The 17,059-nt window shown below is 51.2% G+C and overlaps 1 long non-coding RNA gene across 1 annotated transcript, besides 4 other annotated features; it reads left to right on the top strand.

Annotated features, from left to right (window-relative positions):
* Positions 1,688-2,300: an enhancer, noted in NCBI's record as "H3K4me1 hESC enhancer chr15:102157328-102157940 (GRCh37/hg19 assembly coordinates)". NCBI's record gives its function as "activates a minimal SCP1, AML or CMV promoter by ChIP-STARR-seq in naive H9 embryonic stem cells {active_cell/tissue: H9 hESC(naive)}" and the evidence as "EXISTENCE:reporter gene assay evidence [ECO:0000049][PMID:30033119]".
* Positions 4,741-5,257: an enhancer, noted in NCBI's record as "H3K4me1 hESC enhancer chr15:102154371-102154887 (GRCh37/hg19 assembly coordinates)". NCBI's record gives its function as "activates a minimal SCP1, AML or CMV promoter by ChIP-STARR-seq in naive and primed H9 embryonic stem cells {active_cell/tissue: H9 hESC(naive and primed)}" and the evidence as "EXISTENCE:reporter gene assay evidence [ECO:0000049][PMID:30033119]".
* Positions 5,086-16,639, top strand: LINC02348 (long intergenic non-protein coding RNA 2348). Its single transcript, NR_147041.1, has 3 exons — positions 5,086-5,475; positions 5,651-5,890; positions 13,390-16,639. It is a non-coding gene; the product is annotated as a long intergenic non-protein coding RNA 2348 (long non-coding RNA).
* Positions 5,258-5,776: an enhancer, noted in NCBI's record as "H3K4me1 hESC enhancer chr15:102153852-102154370 (GRCh37/hg19 assembly coordinates)". NCBI's record gives its function as "activates a minimal SCP1, AML or CMV promoter by ChIP-STARR-seq in naive and primed H9 embryonic stem cells {active_cell/tissue: H9 hESC(naive and primed)}" and the evidence as "EXISTENCE:reporter gene assay evidence [ECO:0000049][PMID:30033119]".
* Positions 6,595-7,095: an enhancer, noted in NCBI's record as "H3K4me1 hESC enhancer chr15:102152533-102153033 (GRCh37/hg19 assembly coordinates)". NCBI's record gives its function as "activates a minimal SCP1, AML or CMV promoter by ChIP-STARR-seq in primed H9 embryonic stem cells {active_cell/tissue: H9 hESC(primed)}" and the evidence as "EXISTENCE:reporter gene assay evidence [ECO:0000049][PMID:30033119]".
* Positions 16,640-17,059: the final 420 nt, after the last annotated feature.

Below are 17,059 nucleotides of genomic sequence, written 5' to 3'. Positions count from 1 at the left end.
CGGTGTCAGATGTGTTCGTTTTACCAAGTCAGGGTCCCAGGCTGCAGGATTGGAGATCTTGGCTGAATCATGCTAAAACCCCCACTTGTTGAAGCCCACCAACCCCAGACCACCAGAACATCCATCACCAAAAAAGGTCAATGTCTTTAGCTAGCGGCTGGGGAGATACTGCACGTGTGTGAGTCTAAAGCCTCAGTGCTTCTGACTTTACTGGTTGCTGTAATTTCCCACTAACTGCCCAGAGCTGTTGGCTGTGGGTACACAAACAGGTGCCCTGGAGAGCCCCACTGCTCTGGAAGCAGAAGATGGGCATGGCCACAGCAAGGCCTCTGCCTGCCGGCCTAGCGTGCTGGGTTCAGAGGTACAGCGCCAGCCCCTCCTCTGAGCTCCCTCGGCTCCAGGGGTCACAGCTGCTTCCTGCAATCACCAATATCAGGGTCACCACAGCAGCCACATTTGCTCCTTTTCCTCTCAGTCCCCCAACTCTCATCTTCACTTCCTTTTGCTTGATACGCCTGGGACTGGAGATCTTGGCTGAATCGGGCTGGAACTTGTGGAAGCCCACCAACCCAAGACCACCGGAACATCCATCACCAAAAGAGGCCTCTTGTGGTTTCTGGTTTTATTTTGTTTTGTTTTGTTGGATGGGACCAGACACACACCACTCGTTTGGAAGCAGTTTGTGTCCTTTCTGCCTGTTTCTTCTCTCCTCCTCCTTTCAGGCTGGAGTAAGGATGTGTTTGTGACAGAAAGGCAGACAAGAAAGATACACCGTCCCCAAGGATACAGGGAGCTTCCACCCCAGCTGTGCCTTCTTTCCCACCGGAGAGAAAAAACAATTCTTTCCTGTTTAAGCCACAGTTGGCTACTAGCAGCCAAACGCCACCCCCAACTGGCCCAGCCTTTTGGGGTCAGCCACAGTGTGTCGTGGATAGGGGGACGGCTAATGTTGGCCTATGTAAGAAAGGAAATTCTTGGAGGAAAAATAAGTCAGCTAATTTTTGATGTAATCATCATGAAAACATTTTGTAAGTAGATAATGAAATCAGACACTGAAGAATCTTTTCTGATCAGTAACCCTGAGGAGAGAAGTTGCAGGTTACGGTGCTGGCTGGCGGGGCGGCGTAACTCCAGCCCTCTCTCTCCTGCACCAGGAGGCGAGCAAGCGAGTAACAGACACGGGTCGGGGGTGGAAGGAGGTGGGGAGAGGCGGCTCACAAGGAGACAGGCAGCAAAGCGGTGGGGAGCCAAGGCCCCAGAGCTCTCAGATACATCAGTGTGGTCTGTAGCCAACCAAGGCCTCAGTTTCTTCATCTGTAAAATGGAGGGATTATCAGTAGCTACCTCATGGGATTGCAAATGACACAATCTGTGTAAAAACACAATTCGAGATCTCCTCATATGATATTTATAATCCACTCTAATTTACAAATACAAAAAGTTTGCCACCTTTTGCACTTTTACTGTTATTAACAGCAACGACCTGTCTTTATTTGCACAGCTTACCAGGCCCTCCAGGGTGACAGTCACCAAGAGCCAGGGCTTGGGCCTCAGCTTTGCAGCTCCTGGCTCTTGGTTTAGTCTGGATCCCTAAAGGAGTATCAGCAGCCAGGGAGAACTGAATCAGCTCTCCAGGTCCTGGAGGCAACCGCAGAAACAGAACAGTGCAAATGCCAGCATTTCCGCAGATAAGCGTGGCCCGCCAGCTGCAAACACCCCTGACATGCAGCCGTCTGTTTAAAATCTGGTTGCCCGCTGCAGCCAGTGGAGCTCAGAGGGCTGCCTGGCGGGTAAGGACTCCAGGCACACAGCAACAAGTGGCTGCCACCTCAAATCCCACGTGGAATATGATGGGGTCCGAGCCAGCCAGTAACTCCAGGAGGGCTGTAGTGTGTAAGTTCGGCCAGAGTTTGCAGATATAATAACATTGGCCCCACGACGTAGACCTGTGGCGGCTCAGGGTTAAGAGACGGAAGCAAACCCCTGCTTCCGTGGATCTCGCTCCAGCCCTCTCTCCTTGCTTCTGCAAACTTTTAACTAGATGGATTACGACGCTATCGATTATGTGTCAGCTGAGCTGGAGCAGTTTAATGGATTAGGGTGATGTTCACCTCGGCCATTTTGCTATAATTGATCCCCGTGTGCCTCTGTGAATCGCTTCATTCACATGGTTACGACTGACCATTGCGAGTAGATGCAAGGCTGCAAGATGCAGTGATCTAGAGCCATTTTCTCTGGGGCCAAGTGGGCACCCTGCTGGAGTCATCCTGATTGCAGCTCCAAGGAATGACCATCTTCCACAGCGAGGACCCAGAGTCTGAAGGAAAATTAAGCTGTGCTTTGAATGTTTTAGTTAAGGATAAAAATGTTTCCCACAAAATGCTCATTTGTAAGCTTGCGTGATTCTAAGGGTATCTCATGGTGTCTAGAAAAGTTAGATTTCATTGTTTCCTGCCGGGGCCGAATTAATGAGATGTCAGTCAGTAAACTCACTCCTTCCTCAAGGTCTCTTTATGATGTGTGATCAGAGGGTGATGGGCTCACAGCAGCCAGGGCCATTCATCCTGCAGTTCACAGATTTGTCTGTTTCTACAAACCATGCATCTTCTCAGACCCAGGATAAAGGACTATGCCTTATCCTGTGTGATCAGCATCACACACTCACACACTCACCCGCAGTCACACTCACACGTGCACACACACACCCACACATCACGCCTCCCCTGGGTGGTAAGCTACATTTTAGTTTACCCAATAGTGATCAACGAGAGCGCAGTGTACGTGTTGTACACGGGGTTTCCAAGTCTCTGTTTGCTTTTTGGTCGATGGCAGTGGTGAAAGTTTATGAAGCAAGAAAGGAGCGCGGGGGAGGTGAGGCGAGAGGTGGGGTGGAAAGCTTTCAAATGAGGCCAGCTCCTTATGGAAATGAGGCTCCGTCATTTTTCCCTGAGTGGCCTAAACCCAATGTTTACTTGTAGCTTCTGTGCAATGAGCTCAATATCACACGTATTATATTGGATCCTGATAGTCTGATATTTTATGGGATGTCTCCTAGATCTTCTTTGCTGACCCCAGCGGTCCCAGCCCAGATTCCAAGCTGAACAAGTCGGGCTGCTTGCTCTGTGAGCAGTGGAGTCCCTGCTGAGCTTGGGCAGCTTTCCCGAGGCCCCGCCCTCTGGCCTCCTGCCCTGCTAACAGGCACGTACTCTGTGGATGGGACCCTGAACCAGTTATCTCAATGTCAGGGGGAATTTACTTCCAAGAAACTCCCCTCTCCTCCCAACTGTGTCCATTCATTCCTGCGGAGTCCGCACGTGGGCTGCTCTTCCTCTGGGTTCCCGCCCCTGAAGGCGCAGGAGGCTGTGACCACGCCCCTTTTGGAGCCTTCCTGGGCTCAGGGAGGGGCTTTGCCTGCGGGTGAGTGTGTGTGAGTGTGTGATGCTGATGACACACACACGGCCCTGCCTCGAAGGAGGCATCTGGGACCGAATGGGCTTGGGCGTCCCTCATGCATTCTACCGACATGGACATGGGCCCCTGGGAGGGTCTGAGCTGTGGTGGAGGGAAGCCCGGACACAGGTCTTGCAGAAGAGCTCAGCCACCCCAGAAAGGACCTCAAGGGTGGGGCCAGGAGTGCAGGTGGGGGCGCTGGCTGGCTGGGAAGGGGATTTCACATAGGAGGACCAGGCAGAGGGAACACTATGTCCACAGTGCATGCAGCACTTAGAGGGAATGCCACGTCCACAGTGCATGCGGCACTTAGAGGGCAGGCCACATCCACAGTGCATGCAGTACTTAGAGGGAATGCCACGTCCACAGTGCATGCAGCACTTAGAGGGAACGGGACAGCTGGCAGGGCTCTAGCCAAGGACAAAACAGCCCATTCCGTTCCCAGACTTTGAGTCAGCGTTTAGGGTTTTGCCTCATGATGGGCCGTGCTGAGGAAACCAGTCAAGATGACCTGAACTCAGACCCCTTCCGCAGTGTCTCCTTTGTCCTGCTGAGCAACTCTGCTGTTCTCCTGCAGCCCCTCCAGGCCAGCCTCCCTCTTCTACTCAGGGCGGGGTCCAGTCAGTGCACCCAACTCCGGGGCTCCTCAAGGCTCTCCTCCCTGCCTCTGATCTGGGCTGAGGTGGAGCAGATGTGAGGAGAGGTGGGGGGGGGAGCCCCCTTCTGCATTCCCCATGGTAGGAGCAAGGTTGACATCCCAAAAGCTCCTGTCAAACTGTCCCCAAAGCTCCTGGACAAGGACTCCTCCCTCGCCATCTCCCTGATCAAACTCACCCTTCCAGAAGGGCTCAGAGTGGCATCTGGGACAGCCCCGGTTAAGGTCTCATAGACTATCTGCTCTCGGGCACGGACCGGCATCTTTAGGATGTGAGATACTCGGCTCTTACTGCTGTCAGTGTGGGGGCCTCAGCTGGGACCACACACCGCATCACAGCCTGCTACACACACGGAAGCATTTTCCCGAGTCCGACTGTGGAACTGTAATGAATCTCAGCTGCCACTCACAGCTGCTCACCAGCGTTCTCTGCTGCTTTTAGTGGCTTTGTAGGTTTCCATTGCAGAGCTCAAATTATTTAAGCAGCCCTGGTCTTGGGTATGGAATTTTGCGGTCACAGCAGGCTGGGAGGGGATCTTTTGCTGATTCCTTTGTGCACAGGTGTGAAGAGATGTGTAGGAGAGTCCTGAAGGTGGTTTCTTATCTAACCTGCATCCGTGGAAGAGCGTGTCCTGGTGCCTGGGTGTCGGGACCCCATAAGGACCATGAGCTACCCCTTTGCCAGGGCTGGGACTGTGGATGGTCATTTGCAGCCCAGACCCACGAGGTGTTTCCCAAGCATGGTGGCACCTCCCTGTGGCTGTGCCTGGCTCCTTCCAGCTCTCCCCAGTGGCCCATAGGCTTAGAAACATGTAGAGTGTGTCCCAGGCAGGGGGCCAGCCTTAAAAAATGCCAGCCCATCTCCTCCATCCACGATGACATCACCGGTACGGGCTTGTGTGTAGGTGACCTTTGGTGGCCTGATCCTCCTGCCCTCTGCCTGGCTCCCTGGGCTCTGGTGGAACACAGCTGCCCTTCCTAATTTGGTCTTAATCAGGCTGAGCTAAGCCAGTCTGTATTTGAGGAGTTGGAAGCAGGTGATTCGGGCACAAATTTGAAGGCTGATAAACGGCAGCCGTCACCCGTGCACTCAGAGCGGCCAGAAGTCCTGCTCCTGGGGAAGGAGGAAGGGCGCAAGGGCAATGAGCATGTCGCCTTGCCCTCGGGGTGTGCGGTTTCTGCTCAGCCTCCTCTTGCAGCCTTGTTTCAAGTGTGGGAATGGCCTCCTGACTCCCAATCCGAAACAACTGCTGAGCACAGAAGGCAGAGCAGGGCCCTGAGAGTCAGAGGAAAATGCTGCTGCGGGGACTGGGGAGCCCCATCGGGTGACTCCCCAGAGATGTGAGCAGGTGCAGAGGCTGGAACAACAGGTGAGGCATGTGGGACCAGGAGGCCGGGTTGTGGGAAGCAAGGCATTTGTGGGAATCCGGGTTCCCCAGTGACACTGGAACCCTTCCTGCAGTCCCTGATATTCCTGGGGCTCGTCAGGGCTTCCCGTAACAGCCCAGGATTAAGTTTGTTCTCTTCCCTACCCCCAACACGCAGTGCTGCAGGAAAGTCTCTCCCGTGGATGCTGTGGCCTGGGGCTTGGGTGACGACGTGCACGGCTGCCTCCTCGCTGTCACGTGCTCTGCTGGCTCGTCTCCAAGCTGTGCTGCTCATGTTCCAAAGTCTCCCTGGAGGCTTTAGTGAAAAGCCCTTTCCCCGGTGACCTGGAGTGTCTTGCTAGATGGAGCTGGCCAAGCCTGACGTCTTTTCCTGGCCGATGCCTCAGTCCTTATGCAAGTAGGTGCAGCCACAAAAGGCACCTTCATGGGAATTAGGAACAGAGGATGCCAGGGCTGGGTGTCTCACCAGTGACTGCTGGGCCAGGGAGCAGACCCCGTGCAGACCTGCCCAGGCAAATCTGCTCCCCAAGTAGGGTGTACCAGGGGAGAGGGGAGGGCTGCACAGACCCCTGCTTCCAACATGCAGCTCTTTTGGACACTAGGTGGGGAGGAGGTGGGCTGGCATTTCTTTAAGGCCGCTGCCTGCTTTGGACACACTCTCATGGTTTCTCAGCCCGAGGGCCACTAGAGAAAGGTAGAGGGACCAGAGACTGCTGGAGTAAGAGTGCATGCACAAGGGACAGCCCCAGAGAGGTACCGCCATGCTGCCATGCCTGGGAAATGTGCCTCATGGGGCTTAGGGGGACCATCCACAGTCCCAGCAGCCCCAGCCCCTGCACAGGGGTCACCCGTGGTTTTTATGGGGTCCCGACACCCAGGCACCAGCACACGCTCTTCCATGGAGATCCCATGGAGAGGGATGCCTGCGTGGAGGCCACAGCACTTCTACCAGACCCTGCCACCAGCAGCCAGGCTTGGGAAATGGGGTGGGGGTGGCGGCAGCCTGGCCTGGTCACCGACATTAGCAGTCACCTGCCCAAGGCCATGTGGGGAGGGAGCAGCAAGGAGAGGCCGAAAAGCAAGCTGCGGCCTCAACCGGCCCTGGGTGCCCTCCCAGCCAATATCCAGAGGTGCCCAGCCGGAGGGCCTCACTCACCAGGGCCAGGGCCTCAGCCAAGCCCCAGGTCCCCTCCCCAGCACCCACGGAGGTCATCTTCAGAATTTCAAACGTTTGTCAATGAAGTGCTCCCAATGGAGGCCTCACCAAGCCTCAGTTTGGAAGATCTGAGCAGGTGCTGCTTCCAATTGTGCTTGGCTGTCTGGAGAGTCTCTTCTAAGAAAGTCCCTGCCCCGGGGAGCAGGGGTCAGGTGGTAATATAGCAGTCACGCAGAGAGGAGGCTGGGGCATTGGAGGACAGAGGAGGAACCAGCTCCGGGCTAGGAGAGGGGGAGCTGCGTTGGGTTCGCAGCCTTTGCAGGCCCCACCCAGGGCCCTAGTGTTGCTTTAGGAGCTGGGCAGCCACAGCTGGTGGGATGAGAGTTAAGTCCTGCAAACAGCAGCCTGGCTGCACTCACTGGAGAGCGAGAGTGGGTATGACCCAGGGTGGTGGTGATGCCGACAAGTGGCTGCACCCAAGGACTGTTTAGGAGTGAAAACCAAGCAGACGGTGGGAGATGGGCATGTGGGGAGCAGGGGTGTCCGGGAGCACCCAGGCTTCTGGATGCACAGTGGGAGGAGGATGGTAGAGGGGACTTGTGGGCCCGGGACCCGTATCGAGCAGTGCTGAGTCTCTGGGTCTAGAGCCCAGGAGCTGTTGGGCTGGACATACAAACTGAGAGTCCTCAGCACCTCAAGGACACTAAAGTGACAGCAAGATGAGAAGAGAGCAGGCCCACAGTGGCCTGCCCTGCCACCAGGGGCGTGAAAACCTGAGACATTCATCCTGTTGGCCTGGCGCCTGCAGCTGGCCCCCTGCCTTGCGTGTCACGGAGGCACTCTGCCTTGAGGGTAGAATGTTCTGGGAAGGCACTGTCTGGTGTTTGGTTAAATGACAGGTCAGGCTGAGCCTTGTGCATTTATGGGAGTTGATACATGTGTGTATAAATACATATGTACATATACACACATTTATACCATGTGCACACACACATACACACATGTGTATGCATAATATACAGTCATTTGCACATATATACACATACACCTATCTACAGTACGGGTGTATGTATACATATCAATATTTATTTGTAATTTCTGTCCTCTCTCCCTCCTGAATAACCTAGCAAGTTAGACCTTAGCTTTATGCTTTATTCTTCTCTCATCTACCTTTTTTTTTTTTTTTGAGATGGAGTCTTGCTCTTTGGCCAGGCTGGAGTGCAGTAGTGCAATCTCTGCTCACTGCAACCTCCGCCTCCCGGGTTCAAGCAATTCCCCTGCCTCAGCCTCCCGAGTACAGGTGCTCACCACCATGCCCGGCTAATCTTTTGTATTTTAGTAGAGACAGGGTTTCACCATGTTGGCCAGGATGGTCTCGATCTCCTGACTTTGTGATCCACCCACCTCGGCCTCCCAAAGCGCTGGGATTACAGGCGTGAGCCACCACGCCCAGCTCTTTCATCTACCTTTCACTAGTGAGACCATGAAAGGGGACATGTGGAAGCCAAGCCGCTGCTAACAGGCCCATGAATTCCCGACTTAGCGACACTTTGTTTAAGCACAGGGAGATGCAGCTAGGCGTGGCCAGGGCAGACTGCAGACGGGGCTCCTCGGACACTGAGCCACGGCTTTCTTGAACTAGGTCAGACATCAGACGCTGTTTTAAGGAAGAAAGGATGACCCGAAGGAGGGCCTTTGGTTGAGGCCTGGAGGAACAGTGGGGAGGAGGGGCAGGTGATAAAATGAGCAAGTGGGGGCAGGGCGGGGGCAGCCTTGGGTAGGGCACTGGTGAAGGGCAGTCAGAGAAAAGAGAGTCTCTTCTAAGAAAGTCCACTCTGAGCCCTGCTTTTGAGTAGGATCTCTCTAAGAGTGCAGCGTGGAGCTTGCAAAGGCTTCACTAGTTAGACCTGGGACGTTGGCCCGAGCATGACAGCAGGAATGGAGAGGGGTGTGCAGAGGGTGACGCAGGAAGGGGAGGACTGCGCCTGGGAGGAGGGGACCGTCACTGGCCCCACAGTCTACAGGCTGCCTCCCAGGCCAGGGCGGTCCACTCACCTCAGGTCTTTCCGACCCTGTCCTTGGGTACTGTGAGGCTCTCTGCATCACCCCCATACTCACATGTCCTGCACTTGCTGTTTCTGGGGTCTTCCCTTAGCATCTTGCTTGTGGGAGAGGTTGGTCCTGTCTGCACACTGAACCTTGAAGACATCCGTCATGCTGACCCCCGACCCCAAGGTGTCCCCTCTGTTGAGAGGTGCTCCAAAGCGGAGTGTAGCCCTCTTCCCTCATTAGCACAGGCTCTGGGCAGGCAGCCTCTGGGACCTCGGCCCCACCAGCCCAGCCCCCTTGGCAGAGAGCTCTTGGGGCTCCCTGCCAGCCGCGCAGCGCCCAGCGTTGCCCTAGTAGCAGGGACGGCTTGGGAAGGGTTTTATCTCTGGGAAGGGACTGTCTCCTCTGGGTTTTATTATAAAGGCTAGTTGGTCCCTGGGAAAGTGGAAAAGGAAGATCAGATGACCTGCCTGCATTTTGTTTTCTCTTGGCGAAGGCTGAGCTATCTGATGGCAGGTCCTGAGATCAGCGTCTGGGGCCAGTTCCCAGGGATAGGCTATCCCAGCAGGACCGCAGCACCTGCTGATGCCCCTGCAGCTGCCAGATCCTGGGAGGTGGCATCACTGTGCCTGCCATTAAGGTGGACGTGAGGCAGGACTTCATCCTGGAGCTGGAAGAAGCCTCAGGGTCATCAGTCCTCAGAGTGGCATCAGGCCCACCCTCACCGCACAGGTGGGGCCTCAGGCCTGGGAGCGTGACCGACTGGCCCCCAGTCTTTCCACCAGCCAGGAGTAAGGTCGGGACTAGACTCCTGACTCGCTGACCACCATACCTACAGCCATTCCCTCACTCTCCTTCAATGACCTCAAGTGGGGGCAAAAGAGCGGCTGCCATGACCTCAAGGACTCTCAGATGCATGGCAAACGGCAGGTCTGACCGTGCCGGAAAGGGTCCAGGGGAAGGCTGCTGCCTCCATCCTCGGGCCAGGACATGAAGGGGCATCAACGTCAGGGCAGAAAACAGGAGCAATGGGAGGTCCTGAGTGAATCCTGCAACAGAGAAACTCTTGCCTGCACCCTCTCCTCTGTCCCCCCTCCACCGCCCCATCTCAATGCCACAGGCTGAACCGGAGACCTGTCTTGATGCCAGAGGGGGCCAGCAATTGCCCAAAGAATGCGGAGCTCCCCCTGGTTTGTTGCTGGGGGCCCTTAATCCCAGTGCTGTGCTGGAGCTGGCTTGTAACATTCAATAGAACCAAGCGTTAAATGTGCTCAGATTTTGTGAGCCAGTTGTAAATATAGGCATTATTCACAATTAATCATATGAACTTATAATCAAATATGTTAACAAACACCCCTTCCCAATGAGTTTTACTACTTTTGCTATTTTCTATGCTTTGAGGGTTACTTGCATCTATTATATCAATGCCGTGGGAAGAGTATATAGTGACAGCTACTGGGCATCTCTTCCCAAGCCCACAATCTGTGACGTCACATTGAAAGCTTGGGATTGGCCATGATAGGAGTATTTACACCATGGAAGTTGGCAAACACTGCAAATCAGAGCTTGTGTTATTGTTTTGTTGATTTTCTAGGCTTAAGAAAGTAATAAAAAATTGTTAATAGTACAGATTCAACTTATAAGTGGGTCATGTCTGGGGCCATTTGTAGCAGTCTGGCTCTAATCGGGAGACAGAAATCACACAGCAGGTTAAACAGGGGAAATTTAAGTTAAAATTATTAACAGTTGTAAAACAGTAAGATAGGCCGGGCGCGGTGGCTTATGCCTGTAATCCTAGCACTTTGGGAGGCCGAGGTGGGCGAATCATGAGGTCAGGAGTTCGAGACCAGGCTGACCAACACAGTGAAACCCCATCTGTACTAAAAATACAAAAATTAGCCAGGCCTGGTGGCAGGTGCCTGTAATCCCAGCTACTCGGGAGGGTGAGGCAGGAGAATCGCTTGAACCCAGGAGGCAGAGGTTGCAGTGAGCCGAGATCATACCCCTGCACTCCAGCCTGGGCAACAGAGCAAGACTCTGTCTCAAAAAAAAAGAGTAAGATAAAAAGAAGCTCTATGCAGTATCCTAGGGCTGAGGGAGCTCCCAAAGTAAAAATGAAGTTGTTTGGGGTTCAGACATAGCTGGAGAGGGTGTGGTTCAGCCACTGGATAGCAATGAAGTTTAGCCCAGAGCACACAGCTACAGCTGGTTTGGAGTTGGTGGACACACAATAGGCACCCTCTGGAGGGCAGGCAGGGAACAGGTGATTAGTAACCAAAGGCGTGAACTGCAGTGGGAAACTGAGTGCCCCCAGGGCAGAAGGCCTTCTGGGTGCTGAGGTTGCTTGGCGGGTGGAGAGGTTGCAGAGGAAGTGGCAGGCTGCGTAGTGAGGTCGGAGGCCAGCTGCTGTGTAGACAGTCACCGCCAGGCATGGCCACAGAGTCATTGTGTTCTGGCTCTGAGGCTCCGTCCGACTCCACGGGATAGTCTCCGCTTGGCTGACCTTCCTGGAAATTACAGGAAAGTCCTTCCAGCACCGTCTACTGAGAAAGCTTCACATCCTGTTCACTTTAAATTCAAAATGGTTAAAAGGTTCCAATCTTTGTCCTAAAGCACATATTGAAAGGTGCATTCAGAGCTGAGATGCAATAGATTAAAAACTGCCTGTGTGAGTTTCCTGTGGCTGCTGTAACAAATTACCAAAAACCTGGTGCTTACAACAAGGCACATTTGTTCTCTTACAGTTTTGGAGGTCAGAAGTCCCAAATCAGTTTCAGCAGGATGGAATCAGGGTGCCATGAGGGCCGCTCCCTCCAGAGGCTCCAGGGGGGTCTGTTTCCTTGCCTTTTCCAGCTTCTAGAGCTGCATTCCTTGGCTCGTGGCCCCTTCCTCCGCCTTCAAAGGCAGTGGCTTAGCGTCTTCAAAATTCTCTCCACGCTGTCTTCTCATGGCCTTCTCTTCTATGTCAGATTTCCCTCTATCCTCTCTTATCAGGACATTTGTGATTGCATTTGGGACCCACCCATGTAATCCAGGATAATGTCTCCTTCTCAAGATCCTCAACTCAATCACATCTGCAAAGTCCCTTTTGCCACATAAGATACATTTGCAGGCTTCATAGATTCAGATCTGCGTATATTATTTGAGGGCCATTATTTAACCTACTACACTGATGCACCCCTATATTGTGACAAGCAAAAAAATTGAGGATTTATTCTTCCAGTGCTTAAAAACTGTGGCCTGATTGATTCAGCAAGGAAGTCACTTGTGACATTGATGAATAAGTGAACTTCTGATATTCGCCTTCATTGTCTCACTTTTACTTGTTAACATAAATGAAAATATCAGCCTCATGAGAATGAAACGAAATGAAAATAGCCAACCCTCATGTGTAAAGCACACTTAGTCATCATATGCAAACAGACATAGGCTGTAGATACAAGAGTTTGGAAAAACTCAACAAAGGCATTCTGTGAGGATCAACCAACTATATGCAGCTTATAATAAAGGATATTGTATCATTATGTTTTGTTGTACATTCTTTATATCAGTAACATTTATAATAAATTATCTCTTCATTTATATGTGTATGTACACCCCACACACACACACACACACACACACACACACACACACACACACACACAATCTTTCCCTCCAGAGGGCCAGCTGTTGAGCATTTATCAGCCCACCACTGCTTAATACTTATTTCCAGTAGGGAGGTAGAGGGAGCCTAAGGCCCCCGAAAAGGTAAAGTGCTCTTTGCACCTGAGGGTGGACCTTGCAGTCCCGAGCTCTATGGTGAGCCTGTCACCCACCGTGGTCAGCTACCTCCATCCACAGATGGTTAAATGGATCTGGATCAACCACCTCCGAGGATGCCTGTGTTTCAGCGGAAGATGAGGCTGTGAGTTTTCTGCATTTCTTCCCAGTACAATCCATCGATGGGGGGTTGTTGTTCCCTCTGTCTTCACTGCCTGTGGCTGCCCTATGCCGGGTTACTATCACCCCCATGTTCCCACCCAACACAAACCTGCAGCTTCCTGCCTGACTTCCTGGACCTCTCGTCTGGCCTGCCTTTCCTTTCTTTTCCTTTTTTTTTTTTTTTTTTTTTTTTTTGAGATGGAGTCTCACTCTGTTGCCCAGGCTAGAACACAGTGGCACCATCTCGGCTCACTGCAACCTCTGCCTCACAGGTTCAAGCAATTCTCATGCCTCAGCTTCCTGAGTAGCTGGGATTACAGGTCTATACCACCACACCCAGCTGATTTTTTTATTTTATTTTTTTTTAGTAAAGACGGGGTTTCCCTATGTTGGCCAGGCTGGTCTCAAACTCCTGATCTCAGGTGGTCTGCCCACCTCAGCCTCCCAAAGCGCTGGGATTACAGGCATGAGCCACCACGCTCAGCCGCCTTTCTTTTCTTGAATGAACAGTTGACAAGATCAATGGGACCTAACCTGGGGTTGGGTGGGCCTTGGGCTGCCATTTCCGATTGTGCCCTTTCTGTTTTTAAAAGTACCTAGACACAACTGGATGCAGAGCTTATTCAAAAGGCCTTCAGGACAAGGGGGAAAGATTTTGTAAGGAATGGAGGGAGCATCATCAGTGGAAAGCCTGCCTCCACTTCCCATCCCTGTGATCATGACAGACATCACTAGCTGATCACTGACCATGGCATTCTTTCCCACAGAGTGTGAACTTGGCCTTTACATCCTTCTCCGCAGAGCACTGCAAGCAGCCAGTCCCACTGGAACATAAGATGAAGCTTTTGTTCCCATGGCTGGATACACTTTGGATCTTGGAATGCAATAATTACTTCAGCTGGATCTGGTTCGTGGAGTACTTGGCCAGGGCTCTGCCTCATGCCATGGTCCTACAAGATATGTGAGGAGGTGGACATCTTTGCGTAGCCCTCCTCCAGAGGCAAGTGGATTCCTTCCATAACCCAGAGAAGGCCGCTTGGGAATGAGGCTGAGAAGCCAGACTTTTTGGCACACAAAGAAAAAGGGAGTTTTCAAAGTTGCCGCAAATCATGCAGGAAGAGAAAACAGGACATTAGTGGACACTGATTCTTCCCCTCTGCTGAACTCTGAGTCCAGTTTAAATCTTTAATAACATAACACATGGAGAAAATTGCTTATATAAAATGATCACCTTTCTTTTAAAAAAAAAAAATTATAGAGACTGGGTCTTGCTCTATTGCCCATGCTGGAGTGCAGTGGCTTGATCATAGCTCACTGCAGCTTTGAACTGTTAGGCTCATATGATCCCCATGTCTCTGTCTCCTGAATAGCTGGGACTACAGGTGGACACTACCATGCCTAATTTTTTAGTTTTTTTTTTTTTTGAGATAGGATCTTGCTATGTTGCCCACGCTGGTCTTGAACTCCTGGTCTCAAGCAGTTATTCTGCCTCAGCCTCCCAAAGTGCTGGGATTACAGGCATAAAACACCACACTCAGCCAGAAGAAATTATCATCTTTCTAAAATCAAACTTCTCTTATATTCTGGGAACCTACTGAGGAAGGCACAGATTTATCCTCTAGATGCCAGAAGGCTAGAATTGGGAAAGCTTCGAAGCTTAAACAGGGCAAAGCGTAGGTCATAGAAGAATGTATTATCTATTGCTATGCAACAAATTACTCTAAAACTTTAAAAACACAAACATTTATTATCTCTCAGTTTTTCTGGGTGAGAATCTGGGTATGGCTTTGCTTGCTGCTTCTGACTCAAGGTCTCTCACCTGTCAAGGCTGCAATCAAAGTGTCGGCGGGGGCTGCAGTCTCATCTGAAGGCTTGCCTGGGGAGAACACACTTCCAAGCTCACTGCCATGGTGGATGGAAAGCCTCAGGGGTACTGCAATTGAGGGGAGAAAATGGCCAACTTGAGCCAGGGTGCAATGACATCAAGAGGCCTGGGAGCTGAGGAGAAAAGACTAAGGAGCCTGAGGAATGGATGTGGGTCTGGAAGAGAGCTGGAAGAGTACATGGTCCTGGGAGCCTCCTGGGGAAAGTGCTTTAAGTAGGAGGCAGAGACCAACTGGTTCCCATGGTGCCAATGAGTCATGTGAGATAAGGACTGAGAGTTGACATTAGGAGTGGCAGTGGAGGGGCATGTAGTGACTTTGACTAGAGCTATTTCCATGGGATGAGGAGGGTGAGGGAAGCTGACTAGTGTGGGCTCAGTTTATGCTGGAGGAGAGGACTGGGAGAATAATGCTCCTTCATGTTCCTCAGTTATGCTGTAAAGGGGAACGAGAAGCAGTAGCCGGAGAGGACTGGGGGAAGGGGCATCTAGGTTTCATCCATGCATCTGATGGGAATGATCCTGCAAAGGGGAAATGAACAATGCAGGCGAGAGAAGCAAGCCCTGCTGGACACATCCTTGAGTAGGCAGAAGCCAATGTCTGGTGCATAGGCAGAGGGCTGGCTTTAGGTGGGAAGGATGGGTGGGAAGATGAGCCGGCATAGAAGGGGTAGAGGGGGCTTGCAGAAGCACTTTCTGATGGTGTCTGTCTCTTCACTGAAATGGGAAGCCAGGTTGTCATTGTAGCCACCTCCCAGTGGGGCAAAGAGGAGGGAGTGAGATGCCTCATGAAAAGCAATGCTTGGGGTCTGGTGTAGAGTAATAACTCAGTAAATCCATTGTCTTCTTGCTTACCTCTAAGTTATAGTGATCACATTTTCCAGACCAAATATCTGAACCTGGAATCTGGCAGGTGCCTTAGGGGCCAATGGGTGTGACTGATTGAAAAATCAGAATGTCTCAGAAACACCTAGACTTTTAATTTCCAAACAACAGACATGATAAGCATCCAGGGCCTGTCATGTATATTATGGAACGTAATGCCACTTTCTTTGGCCCTTTTCCAAAGCAGATGATATCCCAGCACCAGGGAAAATGGTTTCAATATCAAGTTGGGTCAGCAGCATCTTTCTACCTATTTCTGTCTTCGTGGTCTTTATATTTGAAATAATCATTACTATTTTATGCATTCTCTCCCCATCCTGCATTACAGAAGGAACGTTCCTAACAAATGTTTTATGTTTCAACTGCTAGGAGATTGTATTTTTGAAATAAAATTTTAGTTATCCTTTCATTTTTTGATCCTGTAGATACATACAAATTTAGAAACTCTGAAAGAACACCTTAATTTATATTCTGTGCCTATGTGGGTGAGGGAAGAAGAGGCTGTTTGGTATATATTATATTTTTAGGTTTTTAAATCTCTCTTCTTTTTTGCAAATGTGATGGAATGTAACATTTACCAGAAACTGAGAATTCCCGAGGCAGTAGCCACAGCAGCAACAGTAACTCTAAGCTGGAGATGGTCTGCTCTGGTGCCAGAGAGGCCAACCCTTGACTCTACTCTCTCGTGATCAATCAGCTGGAAAATCACCAATCCATGGTCCTCCCTTCCCATAAGTCACAGTCTGAGTATGGCGCCTGTGGCTGGAACCCTTACGCTCTCCTTTGGGGTGTCTGGGTACCACTCTGTCTGACCCATGCTCCTGGGCATTCTGGAAGTCGGGACTCTGCCTTCCTTACCTGTCTGTGCTTGGAACTCAGAGGATCCTTGTTATGTAGTAGGTGTAGTGGACATTGGTCAGTAGGGAGGCCTATCATCTTTTTACAAGTGTTCTAGACGTTTTCCCAACCCCCCACTTTGTCAACCCTGCCTTTCACACTGACATCTTTTCCCAGCCTGATTTGGCACCTGCCCATCAGACACCATGTGAGTCTGTGGCTCAGAATGGGGTCCGGGACGCACCACACAGGGTGGGCATCCATGTGGAGGATGCAGGAACAGCATGGTGGAGGCAGGGTGGCCTTGAGGGCAGTAAGGCCAGCTTTGCCATTCTGTGGTTCGAGGCACAGCCCAGAGCTGAGTCCTTCAATCCTCCCCGACAGAACTGTGAGATTTCTCAAACTAATCAATAAATCCCTTCCTGCTGAAACCAAATTGATTGGCTTCTGTTGGTTCCAACCAGGCCCCTGGCCAGTGCCATGGATGTCTACGGACCCAAAGAAAGGCCTCCACATGAGCAGATCCAGCTGTGTGGGGCCCAATGCTTCTATCGTTGAAAGATCCTACAAAGTAAAAGAATATAAAGTTTTACAAACAAAACTATATACAAAGGTGAATATTTAATGAGAAAATAAATCACAAGAAATTATAAATTTTAAACCTCAAATATCTTATAAAATTTTAAAAATTAATTTTCTACTTTAACATACCTCTAGGACACTTCTTTCTTATGCTTTTGACAATATTTTGCAATGGCATTTTCTATAGAGAGAATTAAAAGATAAATGAGGCTTTCCTTTAACACTATTCATTAAAATTTGATTGATTGATA

This window comes from Homo sapiens, chromosome 15 (genome assembly GCF_000001405.40).
Source record: "Homo sapiens chromosome 15, GRCh38.p14 Primary Assembly".
Taxonomy (NCBI): domain Eukaryota; kingdom Metazoa; phylum Chordata; class Mammalia; order Primates; family Hominidae; genus Homo; species Homo sapiens.
The sequence above is the reverse complement of the archived record's forward strand: the minus strand, read 5'-3'. Positions and strand labels throughout refer to the sequence as shown.